Source organism: Homo sapiens, chromosome 1, assembly GCF_000001405.40.
Source record: "Homo sapiens chromosome 1, GRCh38.p14 Primary Assembly".
In the NCBI taxonomy this organism is placed as follows: domain Eukaryota; kingdom Metazoa; phylum Chordata; class Mammalia; order Primates; family Hominidae; genus Homo; species Homo sapiens.
This window is the reverse complement of record NC_000001.11, coordinates 161,503,880-161,524,331: the sequence shown is the minus strand read 5'-3', so window position 1 is coordinate 161,524,331 and position 20,452 is coordinate 161,503,880. Positions and strand designations below refer to the sequence as shown.

Sequence of the window (20,452 nt, the reverse complement as noted above, 5' to 3'; positions counted from 1 at the left end):
TGGGCGGCTACGCCAGGCCAGCCCGCCTCTGACTCAGGCTGCTGAAAGAAATGCGGGGAAGGTTCTAGCTCCTCCGGGCTGGCTCTGAGGACGCGCGGTTGTGGCAGAGGCTGCAAAAGCAGCAACTTTAGAGGCAAGGTCTCCCCGGGGCTGTGGGAGGTCGGATCCCTGAGGCACACAGGGGCCTGCGGGCTGCCTTGGAGGGCCGCTGAGAGCCCAGCGGCTCAGGAAGGCCGAAGATATGTTACCATGCGAATACAGATATATAAGATATATACACGTATATCTTAAAACAGTTTTATCTTGAACAAAATATTTTCCAAACCGCGATTTAAGACGGTGCCTGGTTCCTTAGTGAATGGCCAGAGATAGTGAGCTTTAAGAGACAATACTGCAGGTCTTTAGCTGACAGTAGCATTGGTGGTTCAGTGGTAGAATTCTCGCCTGCCACGCGGGAGGCCCGGGTTCGATTCCCGGCCAATGCACTTTCATTTTTTTCCGATCCATTTCAATTCTTTTTCTCATCTAGGATTAATCACTCTTGAATAAATTAAACCAGGTGGCTGAAGACTTTACATTCCTCCAGTTTTGTTCTCTCTCCTTTACCAGTCACTTTCCACAAAGGAGATGTGACATTGCACTGTGGCCCTGGGACTCGGGAGAGACCTCGCCACTCAGCCCAAGAGAGAACGCAACACCTGGGAAAGGAGGACGCAGAGTACGGTCGGGATGTCCCTCATGTTCTCCCCACTGTTTGTATCCCCGAGGAGCCTCGTCTCCAGAGGCCCGGTGGAGAGGCACAGTGTGCGTTTTTCTTTATGGCCTAAGTGGGTTCCCAGCTGGAGACCAGGACTCAGGTGGAGAGTAAACTACTGCAGGCTCCAGTCCAACCTACCTCCTAAAGGCTGGAGGACGAGATGGGTTCACTGGGCAGTAAAGTCACACTGGTTTTTATCAGGTTGTGACTTTGTGAATTGAGGCCATTTCCCACTTTCTTCAATCCAGAACATTCCATTCAGATCTGCTGGCGTTCGGATTTCCGCTGAAAGCCAAAACAAGGAGACATTTCTGAGACTTCTGAAGGTTGACAAAATCCTCACACAATTTCCCGTGACCTCCCCGTCGGGGAATCGACCCCCTCTCTCACGCATGACAGGCAGAGATACTCACCACTATAGTAACAAGGATGGCAACTGCAATAGCTGGCAGCTGGAGAGTATGTGGTACAGTCTGGTGTTACAATTTAGCAGTGTGTTAGAGAAACTTAAAAGTTGGCTTCTATTTAACGTTACTTGCCTGATTCAGAGGAAACTTCCATTTGTAAAAAGAGAAACTAAAAACCCTTACTCCATAGATGGCTATTTTCTCCTTTGACAGGTTAGAACCCACTAGGAAGTTCAAGGGACTTTTTAAGAGGGAGGCAGGAGTCCAGAAGTAGAGGTCAGTACTGTTCCCGGGCTGGGTTCCTTGGTTAATCGTCTCTCCGAGAGCACCAGTGACAGCTGGTAGAGTTTGCTGCTTGAGAGGATCAGCCGTACTGGTAAGGTGATCAGTTCAGGAAAAAAGGGAATGTTTAAAGAAATGTGCAATATATGACTTACACAGTGGAAAATCAAACTGTCCTTGAAAAGAAGTAACCTATTTCATAATTCCAAAAGGGAAAGAAGCTGTCAACTTTAAATTCACTCACTCTCAGGGTCTAAGCTGGTCACACCTGGATGCCAGAGTCAAGACATTTGCCAACGGCCTGCAAGAGACGGGTCTTCACCTCAGCAGGGAAAAGTTGGCCCAGCCTGGGGTTCTGTGCCCCGGCGTGTTAAGGGGCTGTCTTGTGTGGGCTCCTCCAACCTTCTCTTCCAGCCCCCAGCCACCTCAAAACCCCACTTACCCACTCATCTCCAAGAGTTACAGGCATAGCCCTAACGCAGCCTATGAATGTTACCACAGCATCACAGAGGCATGCTTCCAATATCACTCACTTCTTTTTAATTGATCTCTTCAGAGTGGTTCAAACATAGCATAGGGGAGCTTATGCATGCAGTACAGTTTTGGTTTTGTTTGTTTGTTTTTTCTAAAAGAGCCACTGTAGGGTTGTTGGGGGTTTTTTTGTTTGTTTCTTTTTATTTTATTTTTTTCTGGTTCCTGCTCTGTCCCTCAGGCTGGAGTACAGTGATGCAATCACAGCTCACTGCAGCCTTGAACTCGTGGCCTCAATCAGTCCCACCTCTACCTTCCACAGCTTTGGGATTACAGGCATGAGCCACTGCAGCTGGCCTAGTATAAATTTTATACATACACTTAAATATATCCACTTATGTTTAGTAGCTTAGTTTGAGTAGCTTTAAAAATAGAACCGACCTTAAAGTAATGACTTAAATAGACATTCTAATGTGGTGCAAAGCTCACGACTCAATATTGAGTACAAAAAAAAAGCAAGTTGTATGTGTTAGCCCATTCTCACACTGCTAATAAAGACATACCTGAGACGGGGCAATTTACAAAAGAAAGAGGTTTAATGGACTTACAGTTCCACGTGGCTGGGAGGCCTCACAATCATGGCAAAAGGTGAAAGTCATGTCTCACATGGTGGCAAACAAGAGAAGAGAGAGCTTGTGCAGGGAAACTCCCCTTTTTAAAACCATCAGATCTCATGAGACTTATTCACTATCACAAGAACAGCATGGGAAAGACCTGCCCCATGATTCAGTTACCTTCCACTGGGTCCCTCCCATGTGTTGTGGGAATTCAAGATGATATTCGGGTGGGGACACAGCCAAACCATTTCACTATAGAACAAAATTTGTAGTATAATCCAAACTATATATATATAAAAGTCAGTGACATCCACTACCTGTTTGTCCTTGAACAAGTCATTTCACCTGTCTGGGCCACAGCTTCCTCCGTTTTAAAATGAAGAGATTGGACTACATTGTTTCTAAGGACTTTCCAGTTTAAAGTCTCTGATTTCAAACGTCAAAGAATTTACTCATTCCGCACATATTTATTAAGCGCTTTACTATGCACTAGACACTGACCTGGGCTCTGAGTATGTGGTAGTGAACAAAACAGACAAAGACCTCTCCTGGAGCTCACATTCTAATGAGAGGAGTGGGGAAGTCAGACACAAAACAAACAGTAAACATATATTAATAGTACATCAGTAGTAATAAGCACAATGGAGAAAAATGAAGAAGGAAAGGGACATTAAGAGTATGGGAGGGCGACAGGTTATACCGAATGATCAAGGAGACCTCACTGATAAGGTGACATGTGAGTAAAGACCTAAAGGACATAATGAGGCATAATGTGGGTCTATGAGAAAGAACATTCCAGAAACAGGAAATAACATAGGCTCTGGGCAGAAGTATAATTGGCACGTTCAAGGAAGAGCAAGAGTGACCAACAGCAAGCAAGGAAAAGCAGTAGGAGATGAGGTCAGAGAGAGTGAAGAGCAAGATCCTGTAGCATCCTGTAGAATATTGGAAAAGCTCTAGCCTTTACTCCAACCACAAGGGGAAGATAGTATATGATTTGGGGAAAAGAAGTGACAAATATGACACACATTTTTAAAAGATCACAATAGCTGTTATGGTGAGAATAGACTATAGGATGGCAAGGGTGAGTGCAGGGAGGCCAGTCAGGAGGCTATTGGAGTAATCCAAGTGAGAAATGATGGTGGCTTGGACCAGGGTGGTAGGAGTAGAATACTGAGAAGCAGTCAGATTGTTGGGTGCATTTTAATGTAAAAGCAGGATTTAACAAGGCTTTACATATTTGAGGAGCCTCTGTCTAGGGTGATATGGTTTGGCTCTGTCTCCACCCAAAGTCTCGTCTTGAGTTGTCATCCTCATAATCCCCATCTGTCAAAAGTGGGACCAGGTGGAGGTAACTGGGTCATGGCGACGGTTTCCCCATGCTGTTCTCATAATAGTGAGTGAGTCTCACGAGAGCTTAGGGTTTTATAAGTGTCTGGCACCTTCCCTGCTTGCACTCACTCTGTCCTGCCATCATGTGCAGAAGGTGCCTGCTTCTCCTTTGCCTTCTGCTGTGATTGTAAGTTTCCTGAGGCCTCCCCAGCGATAAGGAACTGTGAGCCAATTAACCCTCTTTTCTTCATAAATAACCCAGTCTCAGGTATTTCTTCATAGCAGCGTGAGAACAGACTAATACATAGAGACAGACTAATACATAGAGTTTGGAAGGGTGGGTGGAAGCTCCATAGCCTCCTTAAAAATCGATGTAAACTATCCAACAGAGAAAGCTGCTACTTTTCAAATGCAAGAATTGTGCACAGTGATGCTGTGTCCCAGGAAAATGGAAGGCTCTTTAAGGGCACTCACCAAACCATCAAGGAGACTGTGGGTCATGTTTCTAATCTGCCTGGAATGACTTCTCTGAGAAGGTCACATCCTTCTGGTAACTGCACTGGGAAAATAGCAGTGCAGGAAGTCAGCAGTCTCCACTGACAATTCACCTGAAGTTTGCCTTTCTGACAACTTGTGTTCCAAAACAAAGTGAATGCTTTATTTGCTATAGAAGGAAAGGGAAGAAGACATGGAAACAAGAATACAAGTTCATTAGAAGAAGAGTATTCAGTTCTAAGAAGAGGGGCACTCACCCTACACTCCAAATCTCCCTCTCTCCTCTCCCTCACATCTTATCCATTACTACCTTCTCAAGACTTTCATCACCGAAAAGAAACAGACCCCGGATAGTTCAGTCTACACCCCAATCAATACAGCCCTGAAAAGGTAAACAGAATGTTTTGGTTATAATGTTTTATTACAAAGGTAATATATGATCATTATAGAAAAATAAAATAGGTCATCAATAATTGCATCACCTTGAAACAATCACTTTTAATTTGTTGTTAGAGGTTAGTCTATTTTAACATTTCTGAAGTCATATAGACTTACATGATTGCTCTCATGTAACCTGTAACATAAGCGTTTCTCATGTTGCTACATCTGTTAATAACAGTGGTTTGACTAATTGTATTGGCTGTGTGGATGTGGAACAGAAGATTCTTGATGTCAAGAACGGCTGAGGCACAGAAGGTGCAGTCAGTCATTTGGGACCATATTGTCTGTGGCTTTCAGGACAGGGAGCTTTGGGACTCAGGTAGATGACTCTGGAAGAGTCCTTCTCTTTTGGAACTGCAGCATCCCTTCGTCTTCCCCAAGGGGAATTTAGTCCAGGAAATACCAGATCCTCACCTCTCTAATTCTCTTCTCAAATCCCAAGGCAAAACAATGGAGACTTAATGTGGTTCTGGTAATTGGGCTCTTTGTTCTTCTGGAGCTTCCGACTGCATAAGCAGTGAATAGGTGATTTTGTTCTCAGCATGGAGAAGGCAGAAACCAGCAGTAGGGATCCACAGAGAGGGCATAGGAAAGAAGATGTTAAAGAGGCTGGACATTGGGGCTGATGCTGGTCATCCCAGCACTTTGGGAGGCCGAGGCGGGCAGATCGCTAGAGGCCAGAAGTTCGAGATCGGCCTGGCCAACATTGCGAAACCCTGTCTCTACTAAAAAAAAAAAATAAAAAATACAAAAATTAGCTGGGTATGATGGCACATGCCTCTAATCCCAGCTACTGGGAGGCTGAGGCATGAGAATCGCTTAAACCTGGGAGGCGGGTTTGCAGTGAGCCAAGATAGCACCACTGCACTCCAGCCTGGGTAACAGATTGAGACTCTGTCAAAAAAAAAAAAGATGTTAAAGGAAAAATCTGAGGCGCAATTCATGAAGTTTAGTGTTCCAGTGGCAAAATGTCACAGGCAAGTATTTATTGGGAAAATGTGGAAGCAAAATAAAGGCAATCGGTTGGTTTTCAATTACATAATTGTTTTTTGGGGGTAGGTATCTTCTTAGAAAGTCCCTAGTCACCTAATTATATGTTAGTAGGCTGCTTGTGATTGGCTGGGGTTGTCTTATTTCTAACATAAGCATTTACCAGAAATGATCCAAGTTAAGTTTTGCTTATGCTTGTATGTAGTATGACCCCGTGAAGTTTTGCTTGTGTTTGTAGTTTAAGCAAAGTTAAAGCTATTTCTAAGGGCCAGGTGGTTTTGTTTGCTCAGGATTTTTCCAGTCTCCATTTAAATTTTCCTTTAACAATTCCCCTCTTTTTGTCATCCACTCAGCAAGCTGAGAGTATGACCACATGGCATAACGTTACTCTTTAGTTATTACTGTTGACATGGTCGTTGGGAGGAAGAGTCAGGTAGATGTTTTTATCATCGTCAGTAGGTGCCCTGGGGTTCAGAGTCATGTAGCCGCCGTCAGCTGTTTCATAGTCATTGTTGGTTTCTTCAAGTTGTCTCTTTCTGATGGCAATCATTTGACGTCCAGGTGGCTGCAGGAAAGCATTTAAAACCCATAGGATAATTCAATACACCGGGGAGGTAAATACAATAACTATAAGGAGAATAATAGCCAAGGATTGAAAAATTCCTCTGAGCAAAGATTCTCGGGAGCCAAGACTTAACCAATCAAATAAATTAATGAATACAAATAAATATTATCTGATGAAAAACTCATGTATGTTCTTTAAAGTCTTTTAAATTTTAGGAGGCTATTGTTTTGCACTAAGCTCCTGCACTAGGCCCAAACAGAACAGACTAAAAATCAAAGTGGAATCACCCATGATAAAGTTTCAAGTCATCAAACAGAAACTACATTCTTATCTGGCCTTTGGAAAAATCAGGAGAGAGAGATAATAACCTAATAACCTAAAAATCTAATTTCCCAAACAGGCCAGTTTCAATTGGCATCCTTACAAAAGAGTAACCTGATGTTAACCAACCAGTTATTTATTATTCTGTTTTCCTATTCCTGTCTTTTGCAACTTTAACCAGTTTTAAAATAGCCAATCCACTTTAAATTCTTTGTTTCTGCTTTCTTCAGACCTTTTTCTGTCTATGAAGCCAATCTCCTCTGCTGTAACTCATTGGAAACCTTATTCTAATTTAAGGAGGCAAGTGTTGCCCAGTTCTAGAATCACCATAAAGCCAGCTGAGATCTTCAACCATTTCTTTTGACATCAGTAGGAACACAAGCTCCTCCTTGTTAAGCTGTTAAGATATCAAGAACTTCTATTTTGGGGTGCTATTGAGGCTAACTTGCTCATTTTAGATTGTATTGCTTGAAAGGAATTCAGAGTATTCTTCTATTAAAAAAACAAAGTTAATATTTGGAGCAAATTATGATCTTAGTTTTTGAGTTTAGAGGGCAGCTAGGTGAAACAATTTCTAGAGGTGAGTTTGAGGCAAGTTTAAATGGTAGACTGAAGATAGCAGTTGCAATGTGATGTGCTTTACTGGTTTGCAATTTGAATGTCTCTGGTTATTTCATTAAACATTCTGGTAAACTCTCTGAGTGACCCAGATAGCAGCAGGCATTAAGATTGGCATTAAGGCATAAGTGCTCTGTTGCAGTGATTTTTCTGAAGCTTAAAGTCACCAGTTTCAGTTTGCAGAGCTTTGGAAAAGGGCAGTTTTAGTTTTTAGTGGAACTAAAAAACAAAAATTCAGGAGTCAATCTGGTTTATAGGGAGATAATAAAACTTCAAAGAAAATGAACAGGCCTAGAATTTGACAATGGATGCACAATAGTTTTCTACTAAAATATAATCTTTTTTATTCTGGAGAAAAATATTTTTATTTTCCATTTTTACCGAAAATCAAAGTTAACTTTTTTGCAAAAATAAATCTAGTTTCATTAAATTTGACCTGATTATTTATATAGGTATAATAAAAACAGTAATTTTAAAATATATTTTAGCCACAGCTTTGGTGATATCCAAGAGACTTTACTGACTTTTTATCAGTCAACTTTAGTTTTTAAAAACTATCTAGTAATTGAGAAATCTCAGATTAGACCTTTAAAAGCCTCTCTAGGCTAAGAAGCCAAGCCAAGGACTTGCCCAATTATGTCCTGTTACAAGGAGAATAGATTCTTATTGAACCTATGCAAATACCCAGATTGAAAATAAAAATACTTAATAAGAGTTTCCAAATTCTGAAACAATCAGGTAGAGAGAAAAAGATAAGTGGAACACTTTTTTATTTTTGTTTTAGTAGTTTGTCTTATCTGGAAATGGTGTAGATATTTAATGAATACCTGTCATTTCATTTAACATAGTTAAAGTGGCAAACATAATATTAACAAAACCAACTACCTGTCATCTCAAGGTATTTTTTTGACAAATTGTATAGCAGACAACATGAGCTTATTTGGGTAAAACTAGGTGGAATATTCACTTTCATTAATACCAATATTCTCATTTATTAAAGATTACTCAGGTCATATGAAGTTGAAAAGCATTTTGGCAAAGTTCTTTTCTTCTGAGAAAATATGTAATTTATATAAGTGCTTATTTTTCTCTAGGCCAGTTGAGCTCCTTTAATACTGTTTCTAATAAATACCATCTGGAGGTAGAATAATATTATGTACAAATAGCATACACATGTGTAGATATATGTAAACATACAGAAAGATGCAAACAGAAATTCATGGCTTTTGTTCTGAAATTTTAGCCATGTGCCAGGTATAATAATATAAAACTAATTAGTTGGATCTAGCCTCTAGTTAAAGTTAGCTGTTCTGATGGCTGGCACTTTTTATTGATATTTGTGGAGAGGACTATTAAGATTTTTCATTTGCCAGTTTGTTTCTAAAAAATTCCTCCTTTTTTCTTTTTGATGAGTCATTTTGCTGAAGCTTGTGTTTTAAAAACATTTACACAACTCAAAGGCCCAGAGAAAGGGTACGAAGCTTCTCCAAGAAGGAGTTTTGGGGCATTTTCACCTATTATTAGGAGTCAATCTTATTGAGACTGGATTAAATTTTAAATGAGTGACTAACGAGACACCTAGTTTATCTGGCCTATTTCCAATTAGTTTTTATTATTTTTAGCCTTAGTGGTTGCTTTTATAATAGTTCATGTGTGCAATAACAAGAGTTAAATTTAGTTGTTGTAGATACTCCTGGCTCATTTGAGGATCTAATTTTTTAAGGACGTTAGCATTGAGTAGGTTCAGATGGAAAAAGCAAGCAATCAAAGAGGTTAATAGGTTTAGAATACTTTCTTATTAGCACATTGTAAAGATTTACTTAGAGAGACTATTTTTTTAAATCATTCTTTTAGAAACCTTTACATACCAATCAAAATTATTTATCATTGTTTCTGAGACATTTGGGATCTCATTTTTTCCCAATGCATCCCTTAAATGAACAATTTTTTCTAGATTTAAACATCCTCACTGTGACCATTGCAACTTTAAGTCATCTCTGGTAAGGCTCAATAGGTAAGGCACACCTATTTCTCTAGAAAGTCACAGGTTCTGGGCCCATATTATCTGAACATAGAAATCACTGTGTTTCAGATGGAGGAGTCCCAGACTCTGTACATTCTGACAAAGCCATAATATCTTGCCCTTCTGAAATTTACCTACCTGAGGACTCCAACTGGACCCCCAGTTCGGTTTCTGTTGAACACCTAGTTCAATCTGTCAAGTACCCAATTTGACCTCTGGATCCCAATCCAGAAATCAGACCTTGTCTGGAAACTAGTACACTATACTGGACCTAGTATAGTTCCTGTTGGAAACAGATGAACTTGTCAAATACCAAGATTAACTGCTGAATCAAATGAGAAATAAAATTACTCAAATAAACTCAGAGAGCTCAGGACACAAGTTGCAAGCCTGATATCTGAGAGGGACTTACCTAGTGACTCACAAATGCAGGAAGAAACCAGTGAACACAATGGGCTTAATGGGTACCTATGCCTGGTCACCCATTGCTCTTAGGGATCTTTGGGGGAGATTCTACTTTATATCCTACTTCTGACACCAAACTGTTAAAGAAAAATCTAAGGCACAATACAATTTTAAAGAGTTCATTTGAATAAGAAGCAATTCATGAATTGGGTGACACCAAACCAAAAGAGGTCTAATGTTTTAATGACAGAAAGTCAGAGACAAGTATTAATTTGGAAAATGTGGAAGAAAAATAAAGAAATTTGATAGGTTTGCAGTTACATAATTGTCTTTTGGGTGAGGTACCTTACTGAAGTGTTCTTAGTCACATAATTATGTTAGTTGGCTGCTTACGATTGGCTAGGGTTAAATCTTATTTCTGTCTAACATAAACATTTACCAGAAATGATCCAAGTTAAGTATTACCTATTTTTAGTTACAATCCAACTTGAGTTTCACTTATGTTTGCAGTTTAAGCAATGATAAGGCTATTTCTAAGGCCTGGGTGGCTTTGTTTGCTCAGGAGTTTTCAGGCCCAGTCTCCATTTTAATTTTGCATTAACAAAGGCAAAAATGAGAGGAAACAGGAGAGAAGGGACAAGGCAGGAGGAAAAGGAGATGGCTGGGATTACTCACCTCAAATTGGGCAGCCTTCACAGGATCAGTGGAATTGGCTGTGGGGAAAAAGAAAAAGATTAGCCAGGGCACTGCTGTTGAAAAGGGCCTGCCCACGCTGATGCTGAGGCTGCAAAACCATAACCAGACTCAAAGCAAGGACTGCTGACCCCTTGACACAGTCCTGTAAGGCCAAGGGCTAAGTAAATATGGCCTCATGTACCCACCCTTGGGGTCACCCAGCCACAAGCCTTCCCCATGGGCCACACTGGTGGAGGGAAGCAGTCACTTGGGCCACACTCTTTTCAGGGAATTGCTGAGCTTTCCTAGAAGCAAACCAGACAGCTTGGGGATCTGAGATACTGGGGAAGACGTGGAGCAGGGTGTTCAGCATCAGAGTGAAGTAAAGTCCAGATTTTTGCTGACCACATCAGGAAGAGAAGGCTGAGGGCCATTTCCACATTGTCCAAATGTAGTGCATCTTTGTTGGAACTTTGAAGAATATAGTACTCCATGGCATTAAAAAGGAAGACAGAAAGAGAAAGTAACATGAGAGAGAAAAAGAGAGGCAGGGAGGGAGCTTAGGGAGGGAGAAAGGGAGGGAGGGAAGGGGGAAGGAAGGAAGGCAGGAAGGGAGAGAGGGAGGGAAGGAGGGAGGGAGGAAGGGAGGGAAGGAAGGACTTTCTCTGGTTAGTGTCCAAAACACACCTAATTGCCTCATGTTTTTGTCATAAACTGACTTGGCCAGTGTGAAAAGTAGCCCCAGTATTTGCAAAGTGGCATTTCTCAGGAAGTCGGGAGACATCTGAGACAATGCATCTAGTCTCTTCTCTCACCCCCTGAACACAGAGAGCCTTTATTGCCATGCTGTAAATTCTGCAGCAAACCACATTCTGAATTCCCATTCTAATACATTCCCCAACAATTCCAGCAACCCAGCTTTGCCTTTTGCGAAAGGATTTTTAAAAAACCATTTATGCAGCCCCCATGCCTGGCTGCAAAAGTGCCTCGTGAAGTGTGCTTATGCCAGTGTAGACAGAACCACACAACAAGACGGATAATCCAGTTGCTTGGACTTTGTATTTTCCAGATCTGCTTTGGCCCTGGTGTGAACACAGGCCCCTATCACCACTGGGCCTGGCCAGTGGACGTGCAACCTTGCTGCAAGCACAGCTGAACAAGTGATATTTTGCTCAAGCTCTTAAATCTGTTGGCTCTGCTCTAAATCATACTCCAGCCATCTGAGGTGCGGTCTTTGACAGCCTTTTTCCTGCCTGTTCCTACTGTCATGGAAGCCCCCAGAGAAAGCACTGGTTTCCTTTATGCTCTGACTTTAACTACAGTCTGGAAGTTGCCTGGCATCCTCCTGGAAGTTCCTTTACATACTCCCACCTGAATGTCAGACCTAGAAGGCCTGAGAGGTCACCCTGGCCACCCACTCATTTCCTCAGTGAGGAGACTGAACCCCATCAGGGAGACTGACTTGCTCAGGGCTCCACTGTGTGATGGGGGCAGAACCAGGCCAAAATTCAGTCAACCTTGAGTGCATGGGCATTGGAACCGAGCTTTGCCCACAGAGTAGAGCCCACTAGTGCCCCTAGCCCCCCAGAATTTTCTCAAGCCCAAACCTCCTCTTAGTGTTCCACAGACAGCTGAGCCTGGCCACTCCACCCCATCCCTCCACAGAGGCAGATTCCTCAGCAAATTGAGGGGTTTCCAGGCCTCCTCCTCCTTTCCCCTTAGACTCCTGCCTCCCACGTCCGATTGGCCTCAGTCTTACAGCCCCTAACCCCATCCTCTGCCAGCTCTGCCAAAGCTCCACAGAAAGACCAAAGTATCTCTGATTTCTTGCTCTGGAAATATCACCAGATTCCTGGTCCTAGAAATTTGAACACCGCCCTCTCCTCTGTATCTGGGACTGGTGTTTCTCTTCTCATCTCCAGCGAGGTCCTCTTTAGGCCCAGAAATTAGACTCAGAGTTGACCAAGCGATTTGAGCCCTGGCCATCCCCCCATCGCTGCTCCCTCCCTGGCTCCCAGCTGAACTCGCACAAGCCCCTTCTCGCTGGCTCAGGTCCAGCCGGCAGCCCTGGTGAGCCATCACTGAATCCCTGAGACAACTCTGTATTCACCTGGTTTCTCAGGGAGGGTCTCTCCCATTTCCCTGCACTCAGGGTCTCCTGGGAGAGCTGGGAGGGACACACAGGAGGTTAGCAGGATTAGGCAGTGGGGCCTGAGTCCTCAGGACCAAGGACCAGGGCCAGGATTGGATGGGACCAGCTCAGGCCTTCCCTCTGGCAGATGTTTCCTGTCCTCCCACCCCCAGTTCCCCTGCTCAGGGGCTGCTCCCACCTGGAAAAGGGCTAGTCCAGAGGCAGAATTCAGCTCACCCATGGGGACGCCCAGGAGTGTCAGAAAGGCCACGCCATGGCATCTGTCTGAGGCTTGCTCTGCCTTTTAAAAACACCCCTGTGTCTCACAGTCTGCCTCTCTCTCTCTCTGTTTCTCTGTATTTACTTATCATCAGTAACTGAGGTGTTGGCTATGAACCAATTGCAAAGTGCTTTGTGAGGTGTTAGTGGGATTATTTCTCTTTCTCAGAGGCTTGCAGTACCCTATCTACTCCCCCCTCATATAAGCCCCACCCAGCCTCAGTCCCTGCCTTGGCCCAGTGCCTGGAGAGTCCTCCTTCCCTAGCTAAGCGCTGCCCTCACATACCACCTCCTCCAGAATGGCAACAGCCCTGTTTGTGTGCTGTTACTGCCTACCAGGCACTGGTGTAAGAGCATCAGCCTCTTTCATCCCCATGGCAACCCTGTGAGGTGACTCCTATTAGTGCTCTTGTTGAGGATGAACTAATAAATGAACTAATAAATAAAAGGTGGGCCTAGATCGGAATGCATATCTAGCCCTAAGAGCGGGATTCTGGCAATGTCTGGGGTTAGGCCCTGGGCCAAATGGAAACTGATAACAAAAGGGACTGGGAGGAGCTACAAACCTGAAATCCGCTTTTTCCTGCAGTAGATCAAGGCCACTACAGCAGCAACAATGGCTGCTACAGCAGTCGCAATGACCACAGCCACAATGATCCCCATTGGTGAAGAGCTGCCCATGCTGGGCACTAGGGAAGACAGACATTAGGGCAGGATGGGGGGTTACTATTTTAATGACAACGTTTGTATTCTCCCTGTCCCACCTCCCACCTCCAATGCTATGTCCCAGTGCTTGTCACCTGAAGCTCTTCTGTGTCTGAGTCACTCACCAATGCAAGATTCACCACATCCCCAGCCTCACTGGCACAGGGTTTCTGTGGCTGGACTTGTGCCTCCTCCCTACCCAGGTTTCTCCACCAAATGAATGAAAGCACACTGGTGAGCATGCAGGAGCAGAGGGAAGGATTCCCCTTAGCCCCTGGGGACAGTACGGAGGGTGGGCCCAAAGCCTCGCATAGCTGGAGGCATCATTACTCTATGGAGCACAGCCTTGAACAGTCCATGACGTGCCAGGCTTTCTGGAGTGAATGGCTATAACATGAGCCATGAGAAGAAACGAGGCAAACCTCAGCTCTTAGGAATGCCCAGGAGCTTAGGGAACCTCTGCATCAATGAGGGAGCTCTGCTTCACTGCCATCTTTAGTCTGGGGCCTACATTTCAAAGTGAAACAACAGCCTGACTACCTATTACCTGGGACGTGAGGGCTCCAAGCTCTGGCCCCTACTTGTTGGTCAATACTTAGCCAGGCTTCCACCCCACTCCTCTTTGCTCCAGTGCCCAATTTTGCTGCTATGGGCTTTCTCAGACCTCCATGTAGGCCCATGTGACCTCAGCCCTTGTCCATCCCCTCTTCTCCCCTCCCTACATCTTGGCAGACTCCCCATACCTTGGACAGTGATGGTCACAGGCTTGGATGAGAACAGCGTGTAGCCTATGTTTCCTGTGCAGTGGTAATCACCACTGTGACTGTGGTTTGCTTGTGGGATGGAGAAGGTGGGATCCAAATGGGAGAATTTCTGGGATTTTCCATTCTGGAAGAATGTGACCTTGACCAGAGGCTTGTCCTTCCAGCTGTGGCACCTCAGCATGATGGTTTCTCCCTCCTGGAACTCCAGGTGAGGGGTCTGGAGCACCAGCCATTCTGAAAGACACAAATATGATAAGAAAAAGTTGTAAGGATAGATTCCAAGGGTTTTTCAGTCTCAGAGGTACGTTACTCACAGAACTTGACATGATGTCTGGCAGACAGAAATGAAGATGCTTCATGACAGATGTGAGCATTCTCTTATAGGCAATATATGGTATTATATCTGTGGGACTTCTAAAAGCAGAAGTTTTCAGAGGTTTCAAAGATGCAGAGCAGATATTTAAAACAATTCTGAGGAATTTAAAATACTACGTTTGAGTAGAGAAATGAGCGCATTTCAGTAACTGTAGAGGCTACTCGACAGGGCCTGAAGCCGTCAGTTTTTGTGGTCTGGGGATTACTAATTTAATGGTAAATTTTGTACAAGCTTTGGGAAGTGAGGGTGGGCAGCCTTGAACTGTATTAGCAAAGAAGTAGAGCCTTCTTCCCCCCTTTTTTCCACATGCTGTTGCTGGTTAAAAAAAAAAAAAAATAGAGCCTTAATCATCCCTCATCCACCCTGTCTTAGTCTGTTCTGGCTGCTATAACAAAATGCTATAAACTGGGTGGTTTATAAACAACAGAAATTTATTTCTCCCTGTTCTGGGGGCTGGAAAGTCCAAGATCAAGGTGCTTACAGCTTCTTTGATAAGAGCCTACTTCTTGGTTCACAGAACTGAGGCTTCTTACTGTGTCCTCACATGGCGGAAGAGGCCTTTGAGCTCCCTCGGCCCTCTTTTATAAGGGCTCTGCCCTCATGACCTAATCACCTACCCAAAGACCTCACCTCCTAATACCATCACCCTGGGGGTTGCTATTTGATTAATTCATATCATATGAATTTTGGGGGCACAGAAACATTCAGACCATACTGTACCCTGCATAAAATCTTCCATCCACATAAGAAATAAAAAGGCATGACTTGAATTCACACAGGTGAATTCAGTATTCATTTGTGACTCTGAATAAAAGGGGCATTCAAGAAAAATTTTAAATTTAAAATCACTTTTTCCTTTTTGCCTACAAACATCCTCACTCCCAACAATTCCTTCCCTTCACTGATGGCAGAGTAATCAGATTCCAAAATTCAGCTACCTCGGAGGACAAATCTATTAACAAAGTTTCAATAGACTTAATAAAGATGAAAATCAAATTGCTGTATCATAGGAATAAATATAATTTATTCGATCTTATTTAAATAAAAATTCATTTAAAAAAACAGTTTTCTTTTTCTTTTTTTTTTTTTTGAGATGGAGTTTCGCTCTTATTGCCCAGGCTGGAGTGGAATGGCGCGATCTCGGCTCACTGCAAACTCCACCTCCCAAGTTCAAGCAATCCTCCTCCCTCAGCCTCCTGAGTAGCTGGATTACAGGCATGCGCCATCACGCCCGGCTAATTTTGTATTTTTAGTAGAGATGGGGTTTTTCCATGTTGGCCAGGCTGGTCTCGAACTCCCGACCTCAAGTGATCCATCCACCTCGTCCTCCCAAAGTGCTGGGATTACAGGCATGAGCCACTGTGCCTGGCCAAAAAAAAAAAGTATTCTGTATATGAAAGGCCAGGTACCATTACTGAGATGGCATAAAACAGAAACTAAAGTCAGGATTGCGATTTTGGCTGTGCCATTAACTGCTGAGCTCTTGGGTCTAATCAGTTGCATTTCTTTGTACAATGGATAGGTGGGACTAGGTAGTTTCTCTCTAACAATGCTTCAGATCTCAATTTTTTTTTTTTTTTTTTTTTTTTTTGAGACAGAGTTTCACTCTTGTTGCCCAGGCTGGAGTGCAGTGGTGTGATCTTGGCTCACCGCAACCTCCACCTCCCAGGTTCAAGCAATTCTCCTGCCTCAGTCTCCCGAGTAGCTGGGATTACAGGCAAGCGCCACCATGCCCGGCTAATTTTGTATTTTTAGTAGAAACAGGGTTTCTCCATGTTGGTCAGGCTGGTCTCGAAATCCCAACCTCAGGTGATCCTCCTGCCTCAGCCTCCCAAAGTGCTGGGATTACAGGCATGAGCCACCACACCCAGCCCTCAATTTTTATTATCTATATTTTTACATTTTCATAAGAAGAGTCAGAATTACTATCGGCTGTCTCTGGGAAGCCAATACAGAGAGGAGCTATGATGTCATTAGGCAGCTTTTGAGGTCAACTCAATATTTATTTATTCCCCTTCAGTAAAGCACCATCAACAGAAAGCGACTCCACAGCCAGGATCTCTCTGGTACAGCAGCAGCCTTAAAGGACCACAAAAACAAATCACCCTTTCAGTGTTGAACAGGAGAATCTAAAACACTGAATGTTTACCTGTGACCATCTCCAGGGTTTATGCACCAAGAGTGCAGCTCAAGTAAACAACAATAGAAATGTGCTTATATTTTCAGACATTGGAAGCAGGTAGAAACAGTATCTAAGCCAGGCGTGGTGGCTCACGCCTATAATCCCAATACTTTGAGAGCCTGAGGAGGGAAGATCACTTGAGGCCAGGAGCTGAAGACCAGCCTGGGCAACATACTGAGACCCTGTCTCTATAAAAATAAATAAAAACAAGTCACTTGGCATGGTGGTGTGTGCCTGGAGTCCCAGCTACTTGGGGGAAAAAAAAAAGAAATACTATCTAGAAGCATTTTCTCTACAGACTCTATTAAACTGAACACTGTCAGATGTTTACATAAAGCTAAATCAGATCACGTGACTCCTTTAATTAAAGCCATCTCAACTCACTCAGGAATAAAAGTCAAAATAGTTGCAACAGCCTATCAGCCTCTGCCTGATCTACCCTTCACCCTCCCCTCACCTCTGACCTCATCTTCCAGACTGAATTCTACACTCCCACCTCCACACACCTGTCTGGCAGCCTCCTGCCTTAGAGCCTTTAGAGGTCTATTTCCCCCAACCTCTCTGCTTTACCGCATTGCCACAGGAGGAGGGTAGTTTTTTAAAGTAGGGATTTCCTTCTGCTTCTCCCACACTCAGCTGTTTGTGGCCTCGTAACCCCCTTGCTCAATCAAGACTGAGGCAAAAACAACCTAACACATGCTGAGAAAATTATTAGAAATTCCCCCTTCCCCCACCACGCATGCTAAGCAAAGAGGGTGGGTGAAATGGGGAATGAATGAGCAACTCACAACAGTGCTTCCCAGTAAGCAGTCCACGCCCACTCTTTCCTGCAAACCTCTGTCTGTAAACAGATTTCATCCGTCCTGGCCCTCCCAGGTCCACCCTGGGGCCTTCCTCCACTGACCGGAAAGCACAGTCAGATGCACAGGGTCGCTGAGGCTGGTCTGGCCAGTCTGGCACGTGTACTCCCCGCTGTCATTGTTGTTGGCCTTGAACCTGTAGCTGGGCTGCGTGTGGGTGGGAATGAGATTCCCATTGTGGAACCACTGAATGGAGTCGCTCTCAGGGCTGCGAGCCCCCTGGCATGTCAGAGTCACAGAGTCCTCCTGGAGCACGTTGATCCACGGGGGCTCAAGTTTCAGCACAGCCTTTGGGGGAGCTGCTGAGGGGCAGAGTGGAAAGGGGTGTGGAATAAATAACCCTGAAGGGACTGTGGATGCCAAAGGAGCTCCCAAGGGAGGTCAGGCACCCAAGAGTCCTATTGTAGATGTAGTTCAAGATCTGTACTTGCAGCGGCCTCATTCCCTTGGGTCTTCAGTGGATCTAAGAAGCAAATCCCAGACCCCACTAAAATGGGGGAACTGCCCATGCTGAACCCAAGCTTGATTTTCAGTGGAATAGACATACCCCCCCGCCGCCCCAGCAAACACAGCATCATATTATGAGGATACAACACTGTCAATACAAGGAAGCAAAGGGCATACTCACCAGCTTGACTGTCTGCAGAAGCTGTAAAAGAGAAGAGAGTGGATCAACGTCGAGCAGGAGAACACGGCTTCAAATTTAGCTGCGTATGTGAAATGCTGGGGAGGTGAGCTTGGGCTCTTCCTTCTCCAGGACCCATCTCAAGATCCTGTTTCCAGTTGATCTTTTATAAAAGTATTCACTTCATATGTCCCCTTTATCTCATTTCCTGTTCCTCCTCATGACTACAAAGTACACATGAATGTTTGGTGCAGAATGGACTTTCCAGGGACTATGAAACTACCTCTGAGTTCTGACCTTAGGAACCATTGGAACACTTAAGAATTCAGGGTCCTCTCTCCTCTTTCAATCTATCCCCTGCTTCCAGGGCCCAGGCCTGCTCCTTACCACACTGGTACCTGGAGTCCAGGCAGTAGGAGTGTCTGAAATTGCCCCATTTCAGAATGACCCTCACTCACCCAGCAGCAGCAAAACTGTCAATGGTTGAAGCAGCCACAGGTTTCTGGGACATACATTCTGAGACATTTGGGTCTCCATAGTCATCCCAGCACTGTGCCAACGTCCAGTGGGTTTTAAGAGACAAGCTTAGAAAAGAGGAAGGAAATGGTTTCATCTTCTTGTGCAGCTGTCGTCAGTCCTCAATTCTGTTTCTGCTAACCAATCAGGAACAATTCCAGTTAGGAGTTGAGTCTGCTTTATAGATAAGTCTATTACACACCAGCTTGTGTCCTTGTGAAAACCCCGGGGAGGGGTTACTGTTCTGCTGGCCGGTATACCCCTCCTTAGAGTATTCTTTTTCTGTTTAAGATAATTCCTGGTCGGCCGGGCGCGGTGGCTCACGCCTGTAATCTCAGCACTTTGGGAGGCCAAGGCGGGTGGATCACGAGGTCAGGAGATCGAGACCATCCTGGCTAACACGGTGAAACCCCGTCTCTACTAATAATACAAAAAAAATTTAGCCGGGCGCGGTGGCAGATAGTCCCAGCTACTCGGGAGGCTGAGGCAGGAGAATGGCGTGAACCCGGGAGGCAGAGCTTGCAGTGAGCCCAGATAGCGCCACTGTACTCCAGCTTGGGCGAAAGAGCGAGACTCCGTCTCAAAAAAAAAAAAAAAAAAAAAAAAAAAAAGATAATTCCTGGTTAAAATCTTATCCAAAGGCATTAGAGCAGTTTGCTTCCAACAGGAGCCAAAAATGACCAGCAATGCAGCCTGACGGAGAAGAGGGGAGAAGAGCCTGGGAAGAAGATAATGTCCAGCTATTTTTTATACCCATAGGACAGAAACTTAAAGTAGAAAATTACCTTGTTTTTCACAATATTTTCTCCTACTGAAATTTTCTTTTCTTGAAACGGGAACCTTTTCTCCCACTGAAACTGCAAGTAGTTTTCCCTCTATGTTTTCCATTACAGAAATTGTAAGGAACTACCCATGCGGAGCAGTTGATTTGCACACATATTTATATCTTTCAAAAATGGAACACAAATAATGGGGTTATAAATTGGCAAACATTTTTGAAGGGGATTTAGGCACTATCTATTAAACATTTGAAATTTGTAAGCCTTATCACCTAAAAATTCCATTTCAAAAAATACATCCAATAGAAACACTTAGGTGTGAAAAAAAAAATCAACAAGAATATTCATTGGAGTATTGTAGCGTATAAGGAAAAAAGTCAAGATTAGAAGATAATAGAGACAGTTCAAGACCATCCTGGGCAACAGAGTGAAATCTCATCTCTATAAAATTAATTAAAAAGTAAATAAAATGGGGGATTTTATTAAATAAAAAAATTATTATTTTTGTAAATTTAATAAAATAAAATAGTAACTGCCTTATAGAGTTGTTTTGAAGGTTAAATAATGTCAGATAAATTAATTGTATAAAGTACTTAGAATAATAACAAAAATATCAGAAAATGTTAAATAATTTAATTACTATCTTTATGCTACTCTTTTATGGATGGGCCTGTGAGAAGATAGTGACACCCCTGTATTTAGTGGGTGGTATTTTACCTGAAAAGGGTGCTCATTCCCAGTGCCTAAGGAAGAATGTTTCCCAGAGCAGGTGGAGAGCCACTGTTGGTGCAGTGGGAATCTTGCTCGCCATAGTGGTTGCTAGTTATCATGCCCAT

General features: G+C 43.6%; 1 protein-coding gene, 1 non-coding gene and 1 pseudogene across 13 annotated transcripts; 1 reads left to right on the top strand and 2 right to left on the bottom strand.

Moving 5' to 3' along the window:
- Positions 284-18,875, bottom strand: FCGR2A (Fc gamma receptor IIa). Of its 12 annotated transcripts, XM_017000665.2 has the most exons (9): positions 18,780-18,875; positions 18,325-18,345; positions 17,741-17,998; positions 14,258-14,512; positions 13,376-13,498; positions 10,400-10,437; positions 6,195-6,357; positions 896-1,042; positions 284-698 (listed from the first exon to the last, which is right to left on the bottom strand). In XM_017000665.2, the coding sequence occupies exons 1-8, from the start codon at positions 18,862-18,864 to the stop codon at positions 924-926; spliced, it is 1,062 nt and encodes a 353-aa protein (XP_016856154.1). In that variant the 5' UTR covers positions 18,865-18,875; the 3' UTR covers positions 284-698; positions 896-923. The 12 variants fall into 12 exon arrangements, with proteins under 12 accessions (XP_016856154.1, XP_016856153.1, XP_024309808.1 ...); XM_017000664.2 differs by having other exon boundaries at positions 284-1,042; XM_047449441.1 differs by lacking the exons at positions 284-698; positions 896-1,042 and adding an exon at positions 4,149-4,530.
- Positions 415-485, top strand: TRG-GCC2-1 (tRNA-Gly (anticodon GCC) 2-1). Its single transcript has one exon. It is a non-coding gene; the product is annotated as a tRNA-Gly (tRNA).
- On the bottom strand, positions 1,116-1,187 carry TRD-GTC10-1 (tRNA-Asp (GTC) 10-1; annotated as a pseudogene).

What these genes read in the sequence shown, in the direction of transcription:
- FCGR2A (XM_047449441.1), bottom strand. Translation starts at nt 18,864, where the DNA reads ATGACTATGGAGACCCAAATGTCTCAGAATGTATGTCCCAGAAACCTG. An exon ending in TTCTGCAGACAGTCAAGCTG is followed by an intron (nt 17,999 to 18,324) that starts GTGAGTATGCCC and finishes TCTGCCCCTCAG; the next exon opens with CAGCTCCCCCAAAGGCTGTG. An exon ending in TCCCAACGACCATGTCAACA is followed by an intron (nt 4,531 to 6,194) that starts GTAATAACTAAA and finishes TTCCTTCTATAG; the next exon opens with CAAATAAAGCATTCACTTTG.